The sequence below is a fragment of the Homo sapiens genome, chromosome 1 (genome assembly GCF_000001405.40).
Source record: "Homo sapiens chromosome 1, GRCh38.p14 Primary Assembly".
In the NCBI taxonomy this organism is placed as follows: domain Eukaryota; kingdom Metazoa; phylum Chordata; class Mammalia; order Primates; family Hominidae; genus Homo; species Homo sapiens.
In genome coordinates this window covers 108,753,684-108,779,410 of record NC_000001.11, presented here as the reverse complement: position 1 = coordinate 108,779,410, position 25,727 = coordinate 108,753,684, and the positions used below count along the sequence as shown (strand labels likewise).

Here is a 25,727-nt window from a genome sequence, read left to right as displayed (position 1 = left end):
TTGTATGTATCATTCTCAATTGGTAGTAGATCATATGCCATTGCCTGAAAGGTCAGTTCATGCAGGACAGTGGACACAGGATCAAAGCCACGATCAATTATTAAGAGCTGTGAATGAGTTTTACCCTAGAATAACAAGATAAAATCATCTTAAGCAGCTTCAATTTCTTAGTGTGAACATAGTTTTAATATCTTAGAATACAAAGCACCCTTTTCCTAAGTTCTGTCCCTTTTCCCCACCAAAAACATACAACAGAACAAAACAAATGGTTAATTGTCTTAAGAATGTGAAGTTATAATAAAACAAAGAAAAATCTGAGTAGCCCAAGAGAGGAAAAATGAAGACTATATAACTAAAATCTAATTACTTTTGTAATTAGAGTAAGAGGGTATATTTAATAACTTGGGTTTGAACTGCATGGATGCACTTATACTCAGAGTTTTTTCAACTAAATAACAGATAGAAAATACAGTATTTGCAGGATGTGAAACCTGCGTGTATGAAGGGCTGACTTTCCAGATATGTAGGTTCTGTTGGGCTGATGCAGGACTTGAGTATGTGTGGATTTTGGTATACACAGGAGGTCCTGGAACCAACCCTCCTCTGTGTTTACCAAGGGACAACTGTATAATAGCTTGAAAATTCCTTTTAAAAAAGTAACATTTTGTTTGCACTATATCTATTTTCTTATGAATTGAGTTCCAAAAGCACTAAAACTTAAATTATGAATAGTAGCTACTATTTGAGCTCTAAATATTAGACATTTTACTAAACAAAAATACATGGACTATTTCATTTAATTCTTTTAGTAATCCTGTGAGACAGGCATTATTATCTCCAGTTGACCATGAGGGCATTGCGGTCTGAAATGAACTAACTTGCCCAAATCACACAGGTAGTAAGAGGCAGAATGGAGATTCAAATGCAGGTTTGCTCCAACATCTGTGCTCTTATCCATTATGCTATTTTAAAAGACTGTACTGATACCAACTAAGATGATAAATCACAATGAAAGCCTTGTTATCATTAATTCGCAAACATCACTAATCACTAAACAGTGAATAACAGTGCTGGAAACATTTATTGTTAATGTCAGTATCTTTCATATTTCATTTTAAAAAGTAATAAATTCTTTGGATTAGTATTCAAAGCAATAACAGATAACTACAGATCATTATACAAACATTTTCTATTTATTTACATATAACAAGTAAATTTTATAGGCTAGATTTTTAAAATATTTTAAAATTAAGCACATTAATTTAATTAAATTTTGAGACAGTATGATATGGTGGTTCAGAGCACAGCCTTGGAAATCAGCTAGGTCTGAATCTGAGTCCAGCCTTGACCACATCTTGCAGTACAAGTTTGGACAAAATGCTTATCCTGTTTACATGGCAGTATTCTCTTTGTAAAATGAACCACAATTATGGAATCTTTGCCTTATAAGATGACTGAAAAGGTTAAACATAATCATACTATGAAACACAGCACAGTAAGCCCTCAAAAATATGAGCTATGAATCTTCAGAAATATAAACAGGAAAAAGTGCAATATAAATTCTATAGCAGGCTTAGGGCTTATGATAGCATGTGGGAGGAAGCAACACTTGGCCTGAAGAGTCAAGGAAGGCTTCAAAAATAAGGTGACACTTTATCACTTTATCAGGTGTCCCTGAATAAAGGAAAGGTATCAAGTATTTGAAGGATGATTAATTTTCCAGGCAGAAAGAGTGGAAAGGACAAGTTTAATTTTTGTGGATTTTGCTCTTTTTCCACTGAAAACATGAAGGACTAAAAGCATATTTGATTGTATATCTCTTCATTCAACAAACATTTATTCACTATCTACGATGTGTACTAAGCCATTCTGTCTTCAAAACTACAACCAGAATAACAGCCTTCACCAGGCCTCTAAACCAAAAACAGGTTACTTTTAAGGTAACTAACCTAACATCTAAGTTTATATCTTCCATTCCAGCCACACTGTTTAATTGTGGATTTTGCCTTTTTCTCTATTGCCTCTACCTGAAGAATCCTGTTTTCCATGCAATGAACTCCCTCTTTATCATGTTACTTCATTCTTCAAGCTAAAGGGCCTCTTCTTCTTGGGATGCCTTCCAACACTCCAGTTTAGAAGATAAGCCCGGGACTATATTCCCATTATACTCTGTATATTCTTCTCTCATTCCACTTATTACACAGTATTGTAATTGGTGGTTTCCTGGCACAACTCCTCTTCTAAACTAGCAACAGTTCCTTTTCTTCATTCTCCAGCTACTGTAATATGGCTTCCTAGGCCTCTGGCACCACCTCTGTCAGTCTCCTCAAGCTCTTCATTCTCTCACCCACATGTAAATGCTGGTATTTCCCAGATTTCAACCTTAGTCTTTGATTATATTATTTCCATAGGATAACAATGGCTGCCATTTATTAAATTCACATTGGTGCCAAATACTTACATGCTAACTTAATCCTCATACCGCCTAGCAAGGTATATATTATTTCATCTATTTCACAGATGGAAAACTCAAGGTCACAGAACTAGTGATAATAGGAATTCCTACATTTATTAAATGTTTACACATTGGCAAGCATTATTCTAAGGACTTTCCATGTATTAACTCATTTAATCATAACTTTTAAAATAGGTATTCTTTTATTATCCCCATTTTATAGAAAAGAAAATGTAGTTACATAGAAGTTACATAATTTGCCCAAATAGACATTAACTATGAATTAAACGGCAGAACTAGATTTGGACACAGTGCTGACTTCAAAATCTGTTAGTTAATAGATCCCCCTCTAAACCATACCATCTATTAAGGTTTGCACGATTGTGTATGTTAATGATTCTCAAATCAGTATTGGAGATCTATGTTAATGACTCCCAAATCAATACTAGAAAATGAATGAGCAAGTTTCTTTGGCTTATAAAGAAATAAGACAGACTTTATGCATAGTCATTACTTGCCTTGCATACATTACCTTTATTAGGCTCTTTTCATCAATCTTGTAGTAGTCTTCAAGCTTTTTTTCAACAAGCTGTGCAAGCTTACTGGCATTATCTAGAGGTTTACTAGAAATGGAAAAAAGGATCAAACAATTATCTTTCTTTCAGTGTATACTTTATAATATCATGAAGTTTAATTCTAAAATTAAACTGAAATTTAAAAAATGTTTACAAAATGAAAAATTATTTTATAAACATGTAAAAGTTCAGATAATGTATCAAATAATCTTATATCGATATATTTGGAATTTACAAGGAAAAACCTTATCATATCTGCTTCAGATTTTTTAATATAAAGGAAATAAAATATTACATGTAAAGTTGCAGTTCCTTTTATTCCACTCCTAAGTCCTGGTCCTCTCCCATACCCCTGCCTCAAACCAAGGCAACCATTATAATTAATTTCATGTGTATTCTCCCTCCAGTCATTTCTGTTTCATATGTATGTGTGTGTGTGTGTGTGTGTGTGTGTGTGTGTTTGAGATTTATCTACATTGACATTGACACACATATCGGATTTATTCATTTTATCTCCTATACAGTATTCCATCATGATTATATTGGATTCTATGTATCGATTCCTCTAAAGATGGACATATGAGTCATTCTTATTACACTATTACAAATACTGAAACAAATGTTTCAGCCATAAAAAAGAATGGATCTTGACATTTACAACAACATGGATGGAACTGGCGGTCACCATGTTAAGCGAAATAAGCCAGGCACTGAAAGAACATTTCGCATGTTCTCACTTGCTTCCGGGAGCTAAAAATGAAAACAATTCTCATGCAGAAAGTAGAAAGATGGTTACCAGAGGCTGGAAAGGGGCAGGAGTGGTGGGTGACTGTTTAGTGGGGATGGGTAATGGGTACAAAAATATAGGTAGAATGAGTAAGATCTAGTATTTGATAGCACAACAGGGTGACTACAGTATATTTAAAAATAACTAAGAGTATAATTGGATTGTTTTTATCACAAAGAAAGGATAAATGCTTGAGGTGATAGATATCCCGTTTACCCTGATGTGACTATTATGCATTGTATGTCTGTATCAAAATGTGTCACGTACCCCATAAATATATACACCTACTATGTATCCACAAAAATTATTTAAGAAAAAAGAGAGAGAGAAAGAAAAAGGCTCTTCACCAGCATAACAACCTCAAAAATGGGAGGTCTCATTGTGAGGGCTTCAAAGTTTTACAGAATCTTTAGGTTGTATACCTTAAAAATAAATAATGTAACATCTATAAAGGGTAATTCAACTCTTTGTACAATAATTAAACTCTGTACAATAAATTGTACAATAAATTAATTGTACAATAAATTAAACTCTTTGTACTATATTTTCAAAAGAAAGAAACTTCATTTTTAAATTATACTTTATAAAGCGTAAAGGAATATTTTGTGGAAACAGGTAGAATTTTAAAAGACAGGATTACAGATTATTTATTAGCATAACTCAAAACTAGCCCTTATGTGAGTGATAAAATTATAAATTGGCTATATTTACTCATTTCCCTGAACGTAACCAATCACCAACAGTAGAAGCTTCAACAGTTACTAAACCCTTAACAGGAGCCAAACCACTTAGCTCCACTGAGTCCAGAATGTAATTAGCACATCTCTGACAAGAAAAAGATAATCCCAGCACTTTGGGAGGCAGAGGCAGGTGGATTGCTTGAGCCCAGGAGTTTGAGACCAGCCTGGGCAACACATAGAGACCCCCATCTCAAAAAAAAAAAAAAAAAAAAAGGAAAGAAAGAGAGAAAAAGAATGTTTCTAATACCCAAGGTATGAATAAAGAGCTTGTCTGGTAATACCTGAATTAAGGAGATAACTTAATCTCCAAGGAGATCACTATACTTTTTCTAAGTACTAATAGTGGAATTTTTAAATGGTAAGTGAAGAGTAATGTGACTTAAAGTACTACATGAATTTAAAATTAAACAGTTCAGCCAGCTAACTTGACAAATGCCAATGTTCAAATTAAAGGACTTTTTAAAAGACAAATGAGTAATACTTATTACGAGTAGTGCAATATATTTACTACCATATTTATTAGTGCTGAATGCTTTACAGATATTAATTCATTTAATTCTAAAAACAACTGTATATGGTAGGTATTATTATCATTCTTATTTCATAGATAAGGAAACTGAGGCGAGAGGGTCACACATGAACTAGCAGACCAAAATTAAAACTAAAACTGCCTGGCACACACAACAAACATGGATGACTCTCAGAAAATAATGTTGTGCAAAGAAGTCAAAAACAAAAAATATCATGTGGTTCCATTTATACCAGCTCAAAATCAAGCAAAATTTAACTATGTGTTAAAAGTCAGATGGTAGTCATCTCTAGGGAAGAAAAGGGACGGGAGAGCTGGGAGGGATCACAAGAGAGGCCTCTGAGATGCTGTTAATGTTCTATTTTTTTGACCTTGGTAGGGTTAGATGGATATGTTCATTTTGGAATGAATTAACATGCCATATCTAGCACGTCCTCAAATAATGTCATTTTGTTCGTCATCTCGATATAATGCAGAGGAAAAAAAAAAGATTCCTGGCTGAGGCCACTGTCTGTGTGGCGTTTGCATGATCCCTCCACGTCTGCATGGGTTTTCTCCTGGTACTCTGGTTTCCTCCCACATCCCAAAGATGTGCAGCATGTTTGGTTAACTGGCATGTCTAAATTGTCCCAGTCGAGTGAGTGTGGATGTGTGTGTAGTGTGCCCTGCAATGGGATGGTATCCTATAATCTGGGTGGGTTCCTGCCTTGTGCCATGAGCTGCTGGGATGAGCTCTGGCCATCCTTCTAATGAGCCTGAACTAGAATAACTGGGCAAAAAAATGATCCTGTTTTTATTAATCTTTCTTAAATGTACATATAGTCACATTTCTTTCAATGTTTAATATTCGAAGTGTTTCAGGTCTTTATGTAGAAGTTTGGTGACATTACATAACCAAGGAACTTAATTCTTGTTTATATCAATTAGCCTATGGTAAAATTGGTTTTGTCAGTTAACAAGAACCTATCAACAACATTTTAAGTGAGGACTTACTGTATAGACAATTTAGGCACTTTATAGTAAACTTCATTTTTAAAAAGAAGTATATAAGTCAAGGTATATTGTACTAAAGTTAAATTTTACCCCTTAAGAAAACCCCAAAATTTATTTAGAATAGGCAGATTAGATACTATAGATACTTTGACATTGTAACAGGTATCCAGAGAATATGGTCATTTAAATTTGTTGGTGATTTAATGAAAAACATTAACTGTAACACTGTATTCCCTATGTGACTATAAAGACATTTCCTCTAAGCGTTCTTTAAACTGATGAAAAACCGTCCGTAAATTGTACCAAATTTAGGCTCCGAAATTCAGTAACAGAAGCTATTTGCTAGTCTGAAATTTAAACCACAAGCTTTAAATCTCCTATATGTAGAGCATGGTAATCATACAAAGAAAATAAATTTTGCAAACCAACATGCCAAGGTACAGACACATTACTTACCTCTATAATGAATGGTAAATAGGAAGCATAACATGTGCAGATGCTCAGTGTCTTACCTTTTATATCTTACTCCGGGATTTTCATCCAAGGTGGCACACACTGTAACTATCTGGTCAGCCATTGTTTCCATAATGGCATCTTTTCCCTTTGCATTACCAGGGTCTGGACTATAACAGTAATAGAATGCATCTGGTACATCAAGAGTATACACCTAAGTTAAGACAAAAAAACTCACTGTTAATCTGGAGACCTGATTTAAAAAAAATATATATTTATATTTATGTTATATATAATGTATATATTATATAGATATATATCATATGTATTTATATATTATATAGATATATATCATATGTATTTATATATTATATATAGATAGATATCATGTATTTATATATTATACAGATAGATATATGTATTTATATATTATACAGATAGATATCATATGTATTTATATATACAGATAGATATCATATGTATTTATATATACAGATATCATATGTATTTATATATGATACAGATATCATATGTATTTATATATGATACAGATATCATATGTATTTATATATGATACAGATATCATATGTATTTATATATGATACAGATAGATATCATATGTATTTATATATGATACAGATAGATATCATGTATTTATATATGATACAGATAGATATCATGTATTTATATATGATATATAGATAGATATCATATGTATTTATATATGATATATAGATAGATATCATATGTATTTATATATGATATATAGATAGATATCATATGTATTTATATATGATATATAGATAGATATCATATGTATTTATATATGATATATAGATATCATATGTATTTATATATGATACAGATATCATATGTATTTATATATGATACAGATATCATATGTATTTATATATGATACAGATATCATATGTATTTATATATGATACAGATAGATATCATATGTATTTATATATGATATATAGATAGATATCATATGTATTTATATATGATATATAGATAGATATCATATGTATTTATATATGATATATAGATAGATATCATATATTTATATATGATATATATAGATAGATATCATATATTTATATATGATATATAGATAGATATCATATATATTTATATATGATATATATAGATAGATATCATATATATTTATATATGATATATATAGATAGATATCATATATATTTATATATGATATATATAGATATATATCATATATATTTATATATGATATATAGATATATATCATATATATTTATATATGATATATATAGATATATATCATATATATTTATATATCATATATATTTATATATGATATATATAGATATATATCATATATATTTATATATCATATATATTTATATATGATATATATAGATATATATCATATATATTTATATATGATATATATAGATATATATCATATATATTTATATATTATATATATAGATATATATCATATATATTTATATATTATATATATATAGATATATATCAAGAAAATGCAGCAACTATTTGGGGCAGTTAAAAAAATACTTGCACTAACCATGCTGTTTCCTGAAACAACTGTGTCTTTACCTTAATCAAATCTCATTTTCTCTGTCATCCTGATTTCATCCTTTATTTCTTTTCTCGCTCTCCTCTCCTGCTTTAGTCTACCTCTCTCCTTCAATTCTTGTTTCATACACAGATTGTACTATCTGCTTTTTACTACCAGTGCAACAGATGAAGGAATCTGAGATAGACTAAAATAAAAATCTAACTCCTAGCACAGAGAAACACAACATTACCAAAATCGGCCTATATCTCAGACATAAATTATAAACCTTAACCCATTAGAGAGTAACCCAAAAATCTCCCATAGTTGATACATGTCTTCCGTTCTTTAGCTTATACTCTTCATGTCCTTAAAATAAGAGACATATTTCCCCAAAAGACATGGCATTGTGCTAGACATAATATAAATCTTACTGTACGTATGTACAGCAAAACCTCACAGATACATTCATTCATTCAATTAACAAAATAATTTACTTATGTACAAAGAACTGGGTTAGAGGATTTGGAGGATACAAAAGCCAGGAGCTCCCTAAATGGTATTGAGAGTTCCCCGTTAAACTAAATTTTGTTGTTTTCTAAACAATGATAATTTCTCTTAAACTATGAAAATTTATTGTAAGTGAAAGTAGGCAAGTAATAAACATTATAGGTTAAGTAATGAATTATGAACAAACTTCTCGCATTTCCTTTTACACACAGTTATTCATTTCTCTGGACATAACCCAGCACCAACAGCAGCAGCCTGAACATAGATGAAAATTTAGCTGTGGCTCATCCACTTATCTCTTTCCTGCTCAAAAGGCTAGGATGCTGTATTAATTGTCAACAAGCACCCTACACTTGAACTGTGGCTTCCTCATAGTATAATATCCCACAGCAGGAGATAACATTATTCGATTAAAAACATTTATCGCACGGCCGCCCAAGGCTTCTCCCTCCCACTCACTGATACCAGGTTTAGCCATGGTCATGTGTAGGTTTGTTTTTGTCTTTGTTTTTTAAGATGGGGACTCACTCTGTCACCCAGGCTGGAGTGCAGTGGCATGGTTATGGCTGACTGAAGCCTTGAGGTCCTGGGCTCAAGCGATCCTCAATTTCAGCCTCCCACGTAGCTAGGACCACAGGTATGTGCCACCACACCTGGCTAATTCCTTTTTTAAGTTTCTTTGTAGAGACAAGGTCTCACTTTGTTGCCCAGGCTGGTCTAGTACTCCTGGGCTCAAGCAATCCTTCCGCCTTGGCCTCCTAAAGTCCTGGGATTACAGATGTGAGCCACCGTGCTCAGCCTGGAATGTATGTAGAAGATACACGTGCCACTTCCCAGCAGAAGCTTTAAAAGCTATTGTGTGGCTCCACTATTTTCTCTTTTCCCTCGGCTATGTCCCAGACTAGCCCTTCGGCCTCAGTACTAGAAGGTAGAGGATGTAGAGCAAAGCCCCAGCCAAACAACAATGGACAACACAAATGAGAAATAAACCTTTGTTGTAGTAATGCACTGAGATCTGGGGGGTTCCTACCACAAATTAATCTAAGCTATCTAATACCCCAATGTACCAAAGATAATCTGGGTGCTGGTTCTCATTCTATACTCACATTTCCTCCATTTCCCTCTTCCTCTATCTCCTCCCCACTTTCCATCACCATCATTAAAAGTTTTTTAAGACTACTGCCACATGCTTTTTTCATCTTTATAAACCTATAATCAGCTCCTTAAATACAGATCCTGTCTTCCATCTACTCTTCATGCTAATCTATAGCTAGCTTGTTTCTATCTCTACCAGATCCCTTCTAGTATCCTCTCTACTAACTGTACCAGACTCTCTGTACTCACTAAGGTTCACTGTAAACAAACTCCCTCATATTCTTGAATGCTTTCTATGTTTGTCTGACCCTTGAACAACAAGGGCTTGAAGTACACAGGTCCACTTATATGCAGATTTTTTTCAATAAAAGTTACAAAGAGTGTGCCTGCCTCCCCTGCCACCTCCTCTGCCTCTGCCACCCCATGAGACAGCAAGATCAATCCCTCCGCTTCCTCCACCTCTGCCTACTCAACTTGACAATGACAAGAATGAAGACCTTCATAATAATCCACTTCTATTTAATAGTAAGTATATTTTCTCTTCCTTTTGGTTTTCTTAATAACATTTTCTTTTCTCTAGCTTACTTTGTTAGAATATAGTAAAAACAATATTAAAATATGTGTTATTCTATTGTTTATGTTATCAGGAAGGCTTCCACTCAACAGCAGGCTATTGGTAGTTAAGTTTTTGGCGAGTTTAAAATTATACACAAATTTTTCAACTGCACAGGGGGTTGGTGCCCCTAACCCCTATGTTATTCAAGGATCAACTCTACTTGCCTTATTATATATGTGACAGCATCACTTACCTTAAATCCTCTGAAAGGGAAAGAAAGATCTTTCTTTAATCCCTTTGACTCATGGAATCACCATGAGTGAGTTAATCTTCTTCCTCTCCATGTAATTTCTAAATGTGCTGATGTCCAACTTTATTTCTTTGAAGCACTATCATATCTGACTTTACCAATCTCTCTGCAATGATCTCCTGACTTCTAGGATTCTACTTTTCATTAAGGACTTTACGACCAGTTCCACAGTTTTCTGCACCAGCTAATTTTCTGTCATTATTTTTGGTAGAACCAGGAGCCTCCTACGTACAATAGCCCCAACCTACCTACAGAGAGCCTATCTTTCATTCCTTCACCTCTTATAAGCCACATTCCTGCTGTTCTCCTGCACTCTTCTGATTCTGTATCTTTACATCTAGATTATTTTTACCTCCTAGGTTCTTTCCCTCTTCATTACTACCTTATAAAAATACATCCATTCTTCAAATATTTTCCCAATCTCCCAGTAAGAATTAGCCTCTCTCAATGCTGGTGCAGTGGCTCATTCCTGTAATCCCAGCACTTTGGGAAGCCGAGGCAGGCAGATTGCTTGAACCCGGGAGTTCGAGACCAGCCTGGGCAACCCCATCTCTACTAAAAATACAAACAAAACCTAACAAAACCTGGCTCCTAAATGCATGAAATGATGGATACATTCCTTGTATCATTATACAACACAGATATGTATCAAAACATCAAATTGTATCCCATAAATAGGTACAATTACAATGTGTCAAATAAATAAATATTTAAAAAGAGAATCTCCCTCCTTTTGTGGCCGACTACAAGATGCTTCTCCAACAAACATCCTCCCCTTTTCAGTAACTGCACTTCAGTTCTTTGTGAAGAACAGCCATATATGCCCAGCTAAAAAATTTTCTCAGTTTCCCATGCACTTATGTGTAGCCATGTGACTCAATTTTAGCTAATGAGATAAAAACGAAAATTATTCTCTCATTCTTTTGTATATCCTCAAATGATGATGTAATAATTCTACAGTATGGCTGGGAGTGGTGGCTCATGCCTGTCCCAGCACTTTGGGAGGCTGAGGTAGGAGGATTGCTTGAGCTCAGGAGTTCTAGATCATCCTGGGCAACATAGCAAGACCTCATCTCTGCTATAAATGAAGAAAAAATTAGCTGGGCGTGCTGGCATGCATCTGTGGTCCCAGCTACTTGGGAGGCTGAGGCGGGAGGACTGTTTGAGCGAGACCCTCTCTCAAAGAAAAAAACAAAATTGGGCCGCCCACCTTGCGCATGTGCAGGCAGCGACGTGGCAGGTTGCAGCAAGGCACAGGTGCTATGGGGCTGAGCCACGTGCAGGCCATTTTCTTTGACCTGGACAACACACTCATCAACACAGGTGTGACAAGCAGGAGAGGCATGTTGGAGGCAATAAAGCTCTTACAATCAAAATACCAGTATAAACAGGAGGCTGAATTCACCTGTGATAAAGCTCAAGTTAAACTCAAGAAGGAATGTTTTCACCATTACAATACATGCATTACTGATCTAAGGACTTCACAATGGGAGGAAGCAATCCAGGAAACAAAACATGGTGTAGCCAATAGGAAACTGGCTGAAGAACGTTACCTCCTTTGGAAAACCACACATTTACAGCACATGACACTAAGGTCAGTGAGATGTCAAAGCTATGCTCATTGAAATCAGAAAGGAGGTCTGCCTACTTTTAGTAATGAATGGGGTCAGACAGACCCAGAGGGAGAAGATGAGGCTTGTGTCTGTCAGTCCTATGTCCAAGTTGTTGTAGGTGAACAGCAGAGGGAGGAGAAGCCAGCACCTTCCATATTTTATTAATGCTGCAATCTCCTTGGAGTACAACCTGTGGACTGTGTGATGGTTGGTGACATGTTAGAAAGTGACACACAAGGGGGTCTCAAAGCAGGGTTGAAAGCAACAGTATGGATCAATAAAATTGGAATAGTGCCACTGAAGTCCTCCCCAGTTCCATATTACAGTTTCTTTTGTGCTAGAGTTACCTGCTCTCTTACAAAGTATAGACCACAAAGTCAGTATGCCCTCTTAAAGCAACTAAAAGGGCATGATTATGAATGTTAAGAGTCAATTTGGAGGGTTTGAGCTAAGAAAACTTAAGGCTTTCTGCTTACTATGGTCCAGTTCTAAGAATAATTTTACTTATGATTTAAGAGCCGATATTGTGAAGGTCCTCCCAACTCAACTGCTTTTAAGTTTTGACAACCAACCTCTCACTGGTATTTACATCTGAAAATTCAGATTGCATTAATATTAAGTCAGCAGTGTGGCCCAGAAAACTTGAAGAAATATATTCTTTGCTAGTCTGTGACTGAAGATTTTAAAACTTCTTTTATTAATCTTTTAGTATCTTGATTCCATACCAAGCAGGATAGCTTACACACGGATGCACAAATGTAACGTATATGTTCTGGCTTAAAAATAGATATTTTTAAAGAATAGCTATTCTAAAACATAGAGACTTATCATAGCAACTGGATATGGTTAATATGAAATAAGTACTAAGTCACATGCAAATCAAAGCATTTCATAGTGAAATTTTACATATTTTCTTTTTAAAACATAAACCATATTTTTGCCTACTTTAGATATATACATTTTTATATTAGGAATCTGATTTTCTTGCATGACCTTTTTTTTTTCAGGGGCGGGGGCAATTTTTCTGTGGTGTGTACATAACAAATAGATTTCTCCAGTTAAAAAAAAGCTATTAAAATCAGCTAGGCACGGTGGCTTGTAACTGTAACCCCAGCACTTTGGTAGGCCAAGGCGGACAGATCATTTGAGGTCAGGAGTTTGAGACTAACCTGGCCAACATAGTGAAACCCAGTCTCTACTAAAAATACAAAAAATCAGCTGGGCTTGGTGGCACATGCCTGTAATCCCAGCTACTCGGGAGGCTGAATCAGGAAAATCGCTTGAGCCCAGTAGACAGAGGCTGAAGTGAGCCAAGATCGCACCACTGCACTCCAGCCTGGTGACAGAGTGAGAATCTGTCTCCAAAAAAAAAAAAAAAAAAAAAAAATGCCGGGAGCAGTGGCTCACACCTGTAATCCCAGCACTTTGGGAGGTCAGGAGTTTGAGACCAGCCTGGTCAACATGGTGAAATCTCATTTCTACTAAAAGTACAAACATTAGCCCCGCGTGGGGGTACGTGTCTGTAATCCCAGCTACTCTGGAGGCTGAGGCAAGAAAAATGCTTGAACCTGGTGGAGGTTGCAGTGAAACGAGATTGCACCACTGCACTCCAGCCTGGATGATGGAATGAGACTCCGTCTCAAAAAAAAAAAAAAAAAAAAAATTAGCATGTGGTGCTTTTTACCATGACATTTTCACACCTTTGCACAGTGAGCTTGTAGCTTTGTTATAGTCTTTGCCTCTTATGGAAATATTTTCACTATCTTTTCCCAGACACACAATGGGGTTGAGGGAACTAGATTGTTTTGCTGGAGATAAGGACAAGCCACATGGCACCAAAAATTATTTTTCTTCTGTGGATCCATAAGAGGAAAATTCCCTTGGCGTGGGCCTACCCATGGAGGCTCCTGTTTGTTTTCTACTGACAATGGTTGCACCCATGTGATGAACCTAACAGAAAAGAAGGTTTTGCAACATGACACTGGTACAAAAACAGACACTCAGATCAATGAAACAGAATAGAGAGCCCATATATAAGGCCGCATACCTACAACCATCTGATATTCGACAAAGCTGACAAGAACAATGTGGAAAGGACTCCCTAATCAATAAATGGTGCTGGGATAACTGGCCAGCTACATGCAGAAGACTGAAACTGGACCCCTTCCATACACCATATACAAAAATCAACTCGAGATGGATTAAAGACTTAAAGGTAAAACCCAAAACTATAAAAACCCTGGAAGACAGCCTAGGCAGTACCATTCTGGACGTAGGAACTGGCAAAGATTTCAAGACAAAGACGCCAAAAGCAATTGCAACAAAAGCAACAACCGACAAATGAAATCTAATTAAACTGAAGAGCTTCTGTGCAACAAAAGGAACTATCAACAGAGTAAACAGACAACCTATACAATGGGAGAAAGTATTTGCAAACTATGCATCTGACAAAGGTCTAATATTCAGCATCTATAAGGAACTTAAATTTACAAGAAAAAAAACCATTAAAAAGTGGGCAAAGGATATCAACACTTTTCAAAAGACATACAGGTGACCCACAAGCATATGAAAAATGGCTCAAATCACTGATCATTAAAGAAATGCAAATCAAAACCACAATGAGATACTATCTCACACCAGTCAGAATGGCTATTTTTAAAAAGTCAAAAAATAACATATGCTGGTGAGGCCGCAGGGAAAAGGCAACGCTCACATTCCGTTGGTGGGAATGTATATTAGTTGAACCATTGTGGAAGACAGTGTGGTGATTCCTCAAAGACCTAAAAAACAGAACTACCATTTGCCCCAGCAATCGCATTACTAGGTATATACCCAAAAGAATATAAGTCTATCATAAGGACACATGCACGTATATGTTCACTGCAGCACTATTCACAATAGCAAAGACATGGAATCAACCTAAATGCCCATCAGTGGGAGACTGGATTAAAAAAAATGTGGTATCTCTCTCTATATATATATGTACCATAGAATACTAAGCAGCCATAAAAAAGAATGAGATTATGTCTTTAGCAGGAACATGGATGGAGCTAGAGGTCATTATCCTTAGCAAACTAATGCAGGAACAGAAAACCAAATACTACATGTTTTCACTTACAAGTAGGAGCTAAATGATGAGAATACACGGTCACAAAGAGAGGAACAATAGGCACTAGGCCTACTTGAGGGTAGAGGGTGGGAGGAGGGAAAGGAATAGAAAAAATAACTATTGGGTACTAGGCTTAGTACCTGGGTGATGAAATAATCTGTGTAACAAACCCCCTTGACATGAGTTTACCTATAACAAACTGGCAAATGTACTCCAAACCTAAAAGTTAACAAAAAAAGTTAGGGCCAGACGCAGTGGCTCATGCCTGTGATCCCAGCACTTTGGGAGGCTGAGGTGGGCAGATCACTTGAGGTCGGGAGTTCAAGACCACCCTGAACAACATGGAGAAACCCCATCTCTACTAAAAAAAAAAAATACAAAATTAGCTGGGCATGGTAGCACATGCCTGTAATCCCAGCTACTCGGGAGGCTGAGGCAGGAGAATCGCTTGAACTCGGGAAGTGGAGGTTGCAGTGAGCTGAGATCGCGCCACTGCACCCCAGCCTGGGTAACAAGAGTGAAACTCTGTCTCAAAAAAAAAAGTTGGGTTTTGCTATGAGCCATTTCCAGAGTGCCATTATAATACTTCAGTGACTCTTATTAGAGTTACCATCTGCCTTATCTGTTTTTCGTATTTTTGGAAATATATCATCATTTCATAAATATCTGCTTCAGTTCACTTGGAGCTTAATAATTAATGGTTCCACAGCAAGGCATCATCTTACACCCACAGAATTTTCCCTAGAGCATTAGGCTAGACAATCTCATGATTACACTAATCAAACCTGGAGTAAAGTGGCTGATAAAGGATAAAAGGGGTTATCCAATGGTTAATAAATATAATTTGGGTTGGTTTTTGGTAGGTTTTTCTTTTAAATATTGAATAAGAAACTACTAATGTAAAATATTAGATTGTATGTTGGAATGTATATAGCTATGTCTCCAAGTTTAATACTCAAAGAATCAAATTCTAGATTGTATCTATCTGTAAACCTATTTCTTTAGCCAGTTGTTTTCTGTCTATTGCCAAGAAACAGGATTCTGTGCCTTGTGCAAATATTCTTTTATGTTTACTTCTTACTCTTGATTTTAAAAAATGTGATTGTGTCCTAACCTGTCCCAGGATGCTGTTGCTGTAACACTGAATGTGTGTGAAAAGGGTATGTTTCTAGTTCCAGGTACAGTACCCATATGGCCTTGACTATATTTCAGCTATTTAAAAATTAAGTTGGAGGATTTTGGCAAAAGTAGTTATGTGTGTGATTGCTCTAACAGACTGGTTGGCATGTGATGCTGAGGTCTTGTCCTTTTAGCTGTCCTACAGGATAGATATAAGCAGTGTCACATTCATTATACTACGGGTGAAGGTTCATTGCTTCAACATGATGGTGGCAAATTTCAACAAGATCACTCCCAGGATATTAAGTGAGCAGTTCTTCAGCAAAAATGAGGTAGGAAGAAAAAATGGAATAACTGAATAATATAATATCACATTCCATTGGCACCCTTCCTATGGGAAGAATTTTGTTATCTACCTTCTGAGTGGAATGTTACAGAAGATATTTTAAAATATTGAAATAAGCCTATGATTTTTATAATGTTTTAAAATAACATTCCTTAAAATTAAAAAAAAGATATAACAGTAAAAAAAAAAAATTTACAATCATCTTAGATCATAAGGGCCATGCCTAGGAGACTAGACCCCTGACAATTTCATAGAGCCAGCATTATCACCCTTATATAGCCTATTCCTGATTTCTTGTGTATTAGGAAGAAATAAATTTCCGTGTTGTGTAATCCACTGAAAGTCCAGAGTTTTCTTTTAATTAGTTGAGCCTAGTCCTACTTGATTTAACCATGATTGAAACAGTTTTTGAAAATGTCTAATACTTTTTAATCTCTTTATAGTATTCAAATGAGGGTAGGACATATATCTTGCTCATCTTTTCACAGTAGACTGCTTTGCATTTAACAAACAACGTCCACTGAACATAATCTTGATAAATGCTCAGTAGGCCTTTGCTCACAGCTCAAAGCACCTAGTAGTATTTCATTTACATTTTCACTTGCAAACAATCAAAAATCCAAAATATTTTCAATGTAATTTCTCCAAAACAGTTAGATTTATTAAGTAGAACCTCTTTTTTTTTTGGAGATGGAGTCTCGCTCTGTTGCCCAGGCTGGAGTGCAGTGGTGCCATCTCGGCTCACTGCAACCTTTGCTTCCCCAGTTCAAATGATTCTCCTGCCTCAGGCTCCCAAGTAGCTGGGACTACAGGTGCTAATCACCATGCCCAGCTAATTTTTTTGTATTTTTAGTAGAGACGGGGTTTTACTATGTTGGCCAGGCTGGTCTTGAACTCCTGACCTCATAATCCACCCACCTCGGCCTCCCAAAGTGTTGGGATTACAGGGGTAAGCCACTGTGCCCAGTCAAGTATACCCTCCTAAGACTCTTTTCAAGTAAGTAAATTAAAAGAAAAAAATTCTTATAGGAAAACCATTCACAGATGGGACCTTACATAATCACAATATTTTGTAAAGACTGATAAGTAGAAACTTCTCAAGAGCATTCTCTAGACATGCAAAGACAGGTTATTTCTATTCACCATCAAATTATTCAGATATCTACACAAATCATTCCTTCAAATGCAGCAACTGCAGAATTTTAATAAATTCTGGGGCTAAAATTATATTTATCTTCTGTGAAGCGAGATGTTCTAGAAATGTTTGTAATATTTCTCACACTACCACTTAAATCCTACATCATTTTCAGAAGCTCATTTTCACCCTATACTAAACTTACATATTAAAATAATAAGTTTAAAGGAAACTTTTGGAAAACAGTTTAATGTTAAGCAGATATGTTAAAATCTTATAATTTGGATTATTATTTTTCTTTGTCAAAAACAGCAGTATCAGCTGGGCGTGGTGGCTCACACCCGTAATCCCAGCACTTGGGAAGGCCGAGGATACTGGATCACCTGAGGTCAGCAGTTCGAGACCAGCCTGACCAACATGGAGAAACCCCATCTCTTCTAAAAATACAAAAAAATTAGCCAGGTGTGGTGACGCATGCCTGTAATCTCAACTACTTGGGAGGCTGAGGCAGGAGAATCGCTTGAACTTGGGAGATGGAGGTTGCAGTGAGCCAAGATTGCGCCATTGCACTCCAGCCTGGGTGACAAAAGCGAAACTCAGTCTCAAAAAAAGAAAAAAACAAAAACAAAAAACCCAGCAGTATCTTAAAAGTAATATAGTAGAAATCCCTTGTCTAGGACTTGTCTATCCCTTAAAATATTGATCATAGTTCCAAACAACAGTCAACTATTTCAATTCTATAAAATGCTAGAATCCAAACACAGAGAACAGAGCAAAACAAACCTTAACAATTCATTAGCTGTGTGATTTGAGGCAAGGTACTTAACCTCTTTGATTTCTTGATCTTCAAAATGGAGAAGTACAATCTATTACTATGGCTATTGTGAGGATTAAATGAATAAATTTATGTAAAACACTCAGGAAAGTATATGACACATAGGGAGTATTATATGAGTGTTTGCTTATATCATTATAATCATTGCTATTATTAATTGAAGGCTCAATGTTCCAAAGGCAAAACAAGTCAAAAATCCCCTCACTTTATAAATTAAAATAATTTACATAATATTATATAAAAAGTTTATTAAAGAGCATTTGTTTTAATATCACAAAAGGTTACACAAGCTAAATGAAACACTTTTTTTGGAGTCATCTAACAAAGACTGTGCTCAAAACTCTCTTGATTTCATAACCTGGTAGTTCTGTAATTTGACAAAGGACTTGGTGGCAGATATGAAATTTAAGCCCTGCTATTCATTTTTAATTCCAATTTATTGCTCACGCGTCTGACTTCATCATGGGAAATGTCTATTTGTGGATTAGGTTCAAAATTCACCAAATACATATAAAAAATATCTTCAGAATATACTTTATTAACAATAAGCCATAAAACCAAATTTGAAACCTCTCATGAACTAAAAAATAAAAATAGAAAGTACCTGAGATTCATGTGGAATGAAGGAAATATTTATTTCTTTACATCTTCTTATTGACTTGGAGCAAGAAGCCTTAATTTTGTTAAAGAGATTATCAGGGCAAACTGAGGGGAAAAAAAAACAAAGCATATAGTTACATCTAGATTTTATTCCTTTTAAATAAATCATTCCAACATCCAAGAATAGTTATACATAATTACTGGCTTTCACAGTTATTATGAGGACATAAATAATATATAAATATTGTTATTTGCTTTACAAAAGATATATTCTACTGAAAAGGACTATAACAGAAATTCCATCTTTCCCATTCACATCCACCACAACCTCAGATGTATTTCCTTAAAGATCTGCTAACAGAGCAAACTGAAATTGTTAGGAAGAAAAATCAAGTCCAAACTTATGACTTAACAAACAGCAGCACTTTCAGGACATCTTAGAAATTTATACTACTTTTCCAAATTGCCACTAAGTGATCCATACTACAATCATACAACACAAATGGTTAATTTTTCCTTCAATTAAAGGCAGCTTTCTAACATTAGAAAATTCTAAGACTCTATAATACTAAGTTCTGGAACTCAGAGCCAGTGTTTTTCCCCTTTCATCAAAGAGTTTATCATTCCACTAGATCTAGGTTGGAATATCAACCACTGGCTCCTAGTATCTTTTAACATGATATTCTTTAGCCTTAAGATTCCTTAAGTTAAAAGAGGGTTCACATTCATTAAATTTCATCAATTCCATAAACATGATGCTCTGTATAATAAGGTTACATTACAAATACTTATGGTGTGACATTTTTAAAAATGCAAACTATTAGGCATGAGATAAAAATTTATAGGAAAAATGATATACTACTTACTTAAAGTGAGGAATCTCTAACAGCAGAGACCAAGACTTAACTTAGATATGATATTTTTATTTTGAAGTATATTATATAACATGTAACATAAGACAGAATTGTATGTGTCTTTGGACTTCTCTGTGATTCTTTAGTTACCAGTTTTCTATGTGATCATATGGCAGAGTAAGATAAATGTGACAGATTTTCTCCCTTTATATTTGCCAAACAGATGGCTGTTTTCTTCAGTGCCCTCTCAAAAGGTCTTTGTTTTTCACAAGAGAATCAAATCCCTAACTGAAATGCTGATTAAAAATATTTCTTCCTGTCACCAGCACAGGATTTGAGGGCTAGCCCTCTCCACCCATCCCTCACATCCCAGCATCCCAGCAAAATGACTGTCTTTTGAAAGCAGTTGGGAATAGTTTCTTTTAATTTTCTATCACCTTAATATGAATTAGGATAGATATAATCTTACATTTTTAGATTCTTTCTAGCCTAATTAGAACAAATGATAAATAGAAAATCACCAGGACTGAAATAATATTATAAAAAGTAGATACTTTAATGACATTTTGGGCTGATTTTTAAAAAGTCGACAGTTTAAAACCAATGGCATTTTGAACAATGAAGCAATAACTTTTTAAAAGACTTACAGTCAGTGAAGTAAATATATGCTGCTTTATACTTGTTCTCCGATTTACTTGCAAAATCATGTAAGAAACAATCTACAGACTTAAAAAAGGTTAGATGTTAATACACATTTTATTAAATATTAATTTAAATATGTTACCTTTTGAAATGACTAAGATTATTTTATTTCAGTGACAAAATAAAACTTTACTGGCTAAAAGTTTAATTTATAAACTGATTTTTTAAGATGCTATGTTCTCCAGCCAGTGATAGCTAATAAGGTAGTAAGGTAAAAAGAGTAAGGTAATATTAACCATTTTTGGTTTTGGAAAAAAAAAAAAAGAGTAAGGTAATATGTATGAACAGGATGCTCTTATTGGCAATGAAGAGGTCTAGGAAAACTGAAACAACATAGAAGACAAGACTATTGGAATATAACAGATTAAGGAACTAGAAACCAACATACTATAAGTATCATCTACATGGATAACGAACCACCAAGACTTATGACTGGAGAAGTGTTGAAGTGAGACACAGTGAGTGAGAAGCTTAAACTATCAAGTGATTAGAAAGATCCAAAGCTTGGTAGGTGACTGCAAGAATGAGGAATATACAATTTTGTATCTTGCTTTTGTCACTTAACATTCAAAATGAACATTTATCTAGGTCACTAACAACCCCTAGAAAAATTATTTTTAATGGCCACATGGGTTTTCATTTATTTATCATTTTATTCATATATTTCATTCAGATATCATCATATGGTCTATTATTTATTAATGCTAAAATTTAATTAGATTTATTTACTACTAGAAACTTAGCTAAACCATTTATTTATTTCCTAACAATAAACTCTAAAATATAAAACATTTTTTAAGGTTCTTGATAACAAATTACAAACTATTTTCCAAAAAGGCTGTATCAATCTATACTCCCACTAGCAGTATATGGCAGTTTCTGCTCCATTATCCACTGATAACCAGAATAGCCAGAATGCACACACACATACATACCCATATATATATATTTTAAATCCCTCTGCCAATTTGCTAGGTGAAAAATGGTACTTTTAAGTTGCATTTTTTTTTCCAATCATGAATTTTTCTCTTATGGAATTATATTACAGATAAGATATAAAATGTCATTAAAACCCACTAGCAGCCAACATGTAGAGACTAAAAAGTGTGTATCTTTTTGTTTTTTTAAAAATGTCTGCTAAAGTTTTTTAGAAGTGAAATGAAACAGAGATTGCCAAATTAACGTTCTACATGGGAATAAGTGAGAGATCAGGTTTTCAAAAATGCATTCTCAGATATTGTACAGAATAAAGAAATCTGATAATTTGGCTCTGAAAGGTTGGCATCAAGTATGAGTTAGGTCATAGAGTCAGATTATAAACTAAAGAATTTCCTTTCACATAAAATATATACATACACACATATATACCCATCTTCATATATACATACAAATATGCTACAGGAAAGTCACTGAGATAAAGAAGTAATCCAAGACTATAGATTATTTCTTTTACCTACATTACCATCCCCCCAAAAGGTATAGTTCAATAGGAACTGCATGAAAAACAAAACATGCAAAGAAATGTTATTTTATACAATTTAATTCTGCTTTCATATATGGGGAAAAAAGGAATCCTTTTACTTATACATTCTCATTCGGAAGAATGCAAATAATCTTCTAACACAGAAAAAAACTTTCCTAAGCAAACTAGTTTATGGCAATATTTTTCTACTAAAGTGTACTTTATTACTTTGAATTTTCTGTTAGTAAACCATAACAATGGTGAAATATTGATGAACCTGCTTTTTAAGGTCTCAAAATACTCACCTTTGATGTCGGAGTGATGAAATAAAGAGCTTTCATTTGTCTGACAGGTTCACGGTTCTTATAAATATTCTCTACAACTAACAAGAAAAAAGGTCATTTTATATAACCAAATATTTATATACTTAAAATAATTTTTAAATAAACTTTACTGTACTTTCCATTTATAATAATATGAAAATACATTTACAAATAATATGAAAACAAAAACATTTACTGGGTTTAACATTTTCTTTGTCTTCACTGGATACATTTTAAAATCCTGAAAAATGAAAAATAAAAATTCTTCATTTTCTTACATGAATAATGTAAGAAATTATTCATTTCTTAAATTAATAATTCATTTTCTTACATGAATTACTCATTAAAATTCATAATAACCTTGCAAGTATTTTACAAATGAGGAAACTGAAGCTTAAAGAAGTAACTTATCCAATCACACAGTTAGGAAGTGGAACAGGCAGGCTTCTAACCCAGATGTGACTCCAGAGCCCAAGTTTTTACCTGCCACAATGCTGTTTAAATAAATTGCCAATTAACGCCTATTCTTTCAAAACCACACATATTTATAAAGTATTTTTTCAACAACAGAACATCACTAGAATTTAGTCAATTATATTTTTTATTATGGAAATTAAGCAGTTTATAAGATTAGCTAAAGCAAAGTGAATATAAAGTTAATAAACTTTGTCAAATTAACTATTTAAAGCTACATATATATTTCTTAAAACTAATTTAAAGTATCCTTCAACAAATCCAGGGAACCATCTTTCAAGATTCATGTTGACAAAGGGCCTAGAAAGAATTAACATTAATGTGACGGGCAAGAGAGGTTACTGCTGGACTTCTCTTTTAAATATGGTGATTTCCTTTTCTCATTCCTAAATGTATATTAGTAATGTATAGGTTTATCATAACTACTACTAGACAATCAAATAATATTTCCAAGGAAAAATTTAATCTTTTTATCTTCATTCTCAACTATTATAGTTTTACTTGAAAAAATTAAGGTTTAATCTGTTTTCATTTATTTCAATTGTTTAATGTTCAAAATGGAGTGTCTTACAGTCATGCTATACATATTATTTTGTTTGGTGAATAATGTATTTGTTAAAACACTGAAAATACTGTGATAAATATGATTTAGGGCTCAGGCTCTGAAAATATTCTGAAATCTCTTTATTAATAACAGAAAGTGCCACTTCTCCATTCACTGAAAAATACACATCTATCAAACAACTAAAAAAACAAAGAGAAAGGTCTTTAATAGTGAAAAAAAAAATCTAATTCCCAGTCTGTTTTTTACTTTTTATTTATTTTTTTGAAATAAGGTCTCATTTTGTCACCCAGGCTGGAGTGTAGTGGCACAATCAGGGTTTACTGCAGCCTTGACTTCCCTGGCTCAAGCAATCCTCCTGCCTCAGTTCTCCAAGTAGCTGGGATTACAGGTATGTGCCACCATGCTTGGTTAATTTTTTTGGATTTTAGTAGAGACAAAGTCTCACTATATTGCCCAGGCTGGTCTTGAACTCCTGAGTTCAAGTGATCTTCCTGCCTCAGCCTCCCGAAGTGCTGGGATTACAGGCATGAGTCATTGTACCCAGCTTCAGTTTATTTTTTTTAAGGTTTTATACTTGACTTTATTCTCCACTCAAGTAGCAAATCCTGACAGAGCATTTTTTTTCCCGATTTTGTTTTAATCCCAAGACACTACTAAATATTTTCATGAATGACCTGAATGACAACAGAAAGTTTGACTGCTGAACCTGCCAGTGCCCAGTTTCATAGAGGGATTTTCAGGAGAGCTAATGTGGAACTCAAAAGGACTGTTTTGAGTTTAAGTTAGAAGATATGACTACAATTAAACCATAGCAAACTTAGGTGGTTCTGGAGGATATCAAAGGTATCCCACAGCAGCGAGCTCTATGATATACAGTCCTATGAAATGCTTCTCAAAAATAGCTTTCTGTGGCCAAATAAGTTTAGAAAACTGAATACTATCATTTTACCCAGGGGATCCACTTATACCTTGGCATATAAAGACTCTTAAGTCCTAAAGAAAGCTGTGGAGCTCTGTTTAATACTGTTTCCTAAATGTACTGGCCATGGAATCCCTTCCTTGAAGAATATCTATTAATAGTGAGCATACAGTAAGAAACAATGGTCTACAAAATGCAATAAAACCTCCCTACAGTGCATAATGGCTCTGCAGTTCCACAGAACTTTTATGTATTATCAAATGGTTCTCACCCTAGTTTCACATCAGAATGACCTTTCAGAACTTAAAAAACTTAAGTGGCTTAATCAATATTTCACTTATCCAGGAGTAGAAAAATCAAGGCTTCAATTTTCTAATTTCTAGTTTAGAGCTTTTTACATTGAGGGTCAGAAAGACCACAATTGAATATGTAATAAACAATAAAGGTTACTTTATGGCTGGGCATGGTGGCTTACACCTGTAATCCCAGCACTTTGGGAGGCCAAGGCAAGTGGATTACTTGAACCCAGGAGTTTGAGACCATCCTGGGCAACATGGTGAAACCCTGTTTCTATCCAAGAAAATATACAAATTAGCTGGGTGTGCTAGTGTGTGCCTGTAGTCCCAGCTACTTCGGAGACTGAGATGGGAGGATTGTTTGAACCCAGGAGGAGGAGGCTGCAGTGAGCCAAAATCGCACTACTGCACTCCAGCCTGGGTGACAGAGTGAGATCCTGTCTCAAAAAAAAAAAAAAAAAGATTATTTTATGTGTAAACATCAAAACATAAATATTATATGGTCAGACTTTCTTGAGAATACTGGGTATACTTTTGAACTTCATTAAGTTAGGAGTAACAGACGGTACATAAACTACATTAGGATCCAAAATATAAATGAATTATATTTCACTTGGAGCCTCAGATTCCTCATTACAAATGAGAGTATTTATCTGTCTTCATAGGGTTATTATGAAGATCAAATTTTAATAAGTGAGTTAAAGGATGATGAATTAAGAATAACATGATTATGCATGTTACAAGATATTGGTATTTTCCTCAATAGGTAATACAGATTAATATCTCAATAACATAATCCCGCCTAGAGGAA

The 25,727-nt window shown here is 34.4% G+C and overlaps 1 protein-coding gene and 1 pseudogene across 1 annotated transcript in view; one reads left to right on the top strand and one right to left on the bottom strand.

The window, feature by feature from the left end:
* STXBP3 (syntaxin binding protein 3) overlaps window positions 1-25,727 on the bottom strand; it is a 62,850-nt gene that overhangs the window by 30,113 nt on the left and 7,010 nt on the right. The window contains exons 4-9 of the mRNA NM_007269.4: window positions 22,645-22,721; window positions 20,823-20,901; window positions 19,326-19,426; window positions 6,592-6,746; window positions 2,988-3,078; window positions 1-125 (exon numbers count right to left, since the gene is read on the bottom strand). Of these exons, the coding sequence (NP_009200.2) occupies window positions 1-125; window positions 2,988-3,078; window positions 6,592-6,746; window positions 19,326-19,426; window positions 20,823-20,901; window positions 22,645-22,721 (628 nt within the window). The remainder of the gene's footprint in view (window positions 126-2,987; window positions 3,079-6,591; window positions 6,747-19,325; window positions 19,427-20,822; window positions 20,902-22,644; window positions 22,722-25,727) is intronic.
* NANPP1 (NANP pseudogene 1) lies at window positions 11,766-16,912 on the top strand (annotated as a pseudogene).